The sequence below is a fragment of the Homo sapiens genome, chromosome 9 (assembly GCF_000001405.40).
Source record: "Homo sapiens chromosome 9, GRCh38.p14 Primary Assembly".
Lineage (NCBI taxonomy): Eukaryota > Metazoa > Chordata > Mammalia > Primates > Hominidae > Homo > Homo sapiens.
Genome location: NC_000009.12, coordinates 73,647,566 through 73,650,984, shown reverse-complemented (window position 1 = coordinate 73,650,984; position 3,419 = coordinate 73,647,566). Strand labels below are relative to the sequence as shown.

The following is a 3,419-nucleotide window of genomic DNA, read 5'->3' as shown; positions in this document are numbered from 1 at the left end:
TTTGTCTTTCTGTGTCTAGTTTATTTCACTTAACATAATATCCTTCAGGTTCATCCATGTTGTTGCAAATGACAGAAATTCCTTTCTTTTTTTAATTGTATTTCATTGTTTATACATAACACATTTTTTATGCATTCATCCATTTCATATCCTTTGCATATATACCCAATAGTGGGATTGCTGGGTCATATGGTAATTCTATTTTTAATTTCTTGAGGAACCTTCACACTGTCTTCATAATGGCTGTACTAATTTATATTCCCAACAGTATGTAAGGGTTCCCTTTTGTCTATCTCCTCACCAACACTTATCTTCCATCTTTTTTGATAACAGCTGTTTTAACAGGTGTAAAGTGATACCCCATTGCGGTTTTAAATTGAATTGCCCTGATGATTAGTGGTGTTGAACATTTTTTAGTATTCCTGTTGGCCATTTGTATATTTCCTTTTGAGAAATGTCTACTCATGTCCTTTGACCACTTTTTAATTGGGTTATTTGTTTTCTTACCACTGAGTTGTTTAAGTTTCTTATGTATTTTGAATATTAACTCCATATCAGATGTATGGTTTGCAAATACAATTTCTCTTCCATAAGTTGTCTCTTCAATCTGTTGATTATTTCCTTTGTTGTGCAGAAGCTTTTTAGTTTGATGTGCTTCCTTTTGTTTACTTTTGTTTTTGTTGCCTTTGCTTTTGTTCCATATACAAAAATATCATTGTTCAAAACCAATGTCACATAGTTTTATCCCTCTATTTTCTTAAAGTACTTTTACGGTTCTAAGTTCTACATTCAAGTCTTTAATACATTTTGAGTTGGTTTTTGCATATGGTATGAGATGAGGGTCTATTTTCATTCTTCTCCATGTGAATATCCAGTCTTTCTAGCATCATTTAATGAACAGAATGTCTTGGGATCATTGTTAAAATCTATTGGCCACACATTCATGGATTTATTTCTGGGCTCTCTATTCTGTTCCATTCATCTATATGTCTGTTTCTTTTTTCTCAGAATGAAACATTTATTAGGCGTTTATGAACAGAAGCCAAGTCAGGGATGGTACCAAGACAAGATGGTGGATCCCTATGCCATTACCGCCACCTCCCCAGCTCAGGGCTTATATAGCATAGGGAAAGGGTAATGTGGTTAGGATTCTGGGTCTCGCAGTCCACACAGTTGGAGTTCCCGCATGTTTCCGATCAACTGCAGGGCCATGGCCTCGCTTTGGCTCCTCAGCCCGGACTTGCTCTTGCTGCTCTCGCATGACTGCAGGCTGGCCAGGATCTGGCTCTCCATGGCTTGAACCCAGGCATCCCGCTCCTCATACATCGTGGCTTCAAAGTGCCACATTTGGCCAGTGAGGGGCACAATGATAAAGTTTTCTTCTTGTCCTTCAGCAGTGCCGGACAGGCCATGGTCTTTTAAGTTGTTTGTGCTTTTCTTCCTTTGGTGCTTCTTTCTGTTGGCCTGAGGAGAGTGGGGCGTGTGGAGCTTGGGGCTGGTGGTGCTGGAGATACTGGGGCTGGAGCATAGGGAGTCATCCAGCCCTGTGTCTGAATTGGGTGAGATGTGTAAACTGCTCATGTCCTTGGTTAGGCCATTGGTTTTAGAGCTGGAGATGCGCGCACAGGCAGATGTGGCTAGCAGTGGCCTCTTCCCTGGGACTTTCACAGTGGTTCTCCCAAGGTCAATCTCTTTACCATGAATATTCTTCATGTAATCATGTAAATTTGGATGGTAGGTCAGCACGCCGTTGTCACATGGGGTGACATATTTCTTTTTCCATTTCTTCAGCCCTTTGCCACTTAGCTTGAATAGCATGCCCTGTTTAATGGGGATGGCTCTGCCCCTCCTGATGCTGTCTGCACGATTCTCCAGGCCCTTCTTCTCTTTGTCTGGGTTGCTCCCTTTCTGAGAGGTAAACAGGTTGGACCAGCGCTTGGACTGCTTGCGAACGGGCGTGGGTGTGTTGGAAGTGGGAGGAACATCGATCCGAAGTTCCTCCTGGCTGATGCTGGGAGTCGATGGAATGGAGGAGGAATAGTCACTTAAACTCCCACCTCCATTACTTGTCTGGCTGATATGTACAGTGGAAACCGTAAATAACTATAACCGTTCATCAAATATGCTGCAAGAAAAGCACAGGGTAGTTCGTTATTTGAAGCCGTTTTCCTCTATGAGTTCTATACAAAGCCTCAGTAGAGTGGTTCCCATTAGCAACCAAGTTGAACAACTTTTATTTGCTGACTGAATGTAGATACACCTGAATTGTTGACTGCTTTTGTAACTAAACACTCCTCTCCTGTCTTCTAATGAGTGGTCATTTTTGTCTGTAACTTGACCACAGCAATCCCTGGGGCCCTAGCTCTACTCTCAATAAAGAGTTATGGCTGTATGTCTTGAATGACACCTTAGGACCATCCTGCCTCCACCTCCTTCTCCATAAAATAGAAACCTAACTTTTCCCTGAAGCTCTAAAATGATGAAACTTACCAACTCTCTTTTCTCCCTTCTGTTTCTTCCTTCCATGGTAGAGACTTTCAGATTTTCTTTCTTTTACTAAAAAAGCACTAAACATGATCTTGTCATAAAAAATTGAGAGCCATAAAGTGGGGTACCACTGTCCTAATTCAATAAAGATGAATACTCACCATCTAGCAAGGAGTATGTGCCTGACAGTGTCCCCACTGTGCTATGCTCATTTAACCCTCAGAAACAATCTCATTTTACAGATTTTACAGAAGAAGTTGAAATGGAGAAGGTAAGTAACCTCCCCAAGGCCACATGACTGCTAAGGGTGGGGCCACAATTTGATCCCAGGTAGTCTGAATTCCCCAATTCCTCAAGCATGATTATCAGAAGGTGTATTAATCTGTTTTCACACTGATATAAAGAAATACCTGAGGTTGGGTAATTTATAAAGGAAAGAGGTTTAATTGACTCCATGGTTTCCCGTGGCTGGGGAGGCCTCAGGAAACTTACAATCATAGCAGAAGGGGAAGCAGGTCCCACTTACATGGCGGCTGCACAGAGAGTGTGAGCATGTGAAGGAGAAACTGCCAAGCACGTGTAAAACCATCAGATCTCAGCTGGGCACGGGGGCTCACACCTGTAATCCCCGCACCCTGGGAGGCCAAGGCGGGTGGATCAACCAAGGTTAGGAGTTCGAGACCAGCCCGGCCAACATAGAGAAACCCTATCTCTACTAAAAATACAAAAACCAGCTGGGTGTGGTGGCGCATGCCCGTAATCCCAGCTACTCAGGAGGCCGAGGCAGGAGAACCACTGGAACCCAGGAGGCAGAAGCCGCAGCGAGCCAAGTTCGCACCATGGCACTCCAGCTGGGGCGACAGAGTATATGTCTGTTTCTATTTTAGCACCATGATGTTTTGATTACTATAACTGTTTTCTGTTTTCAAATC

The 3,419-nt window shown here is 43.0% G+C and overlaps 1 pseudogene; it reads right to left on the bottom strand.

Annotated features, from left to right (window-relative positions):
- Positions 1,143-2,095, bottom strand: LOC100422376 (ArfGAP with GTPase domain, ankyrin repeat and PH domain 1 pseudogene; annotated as a pseudogene).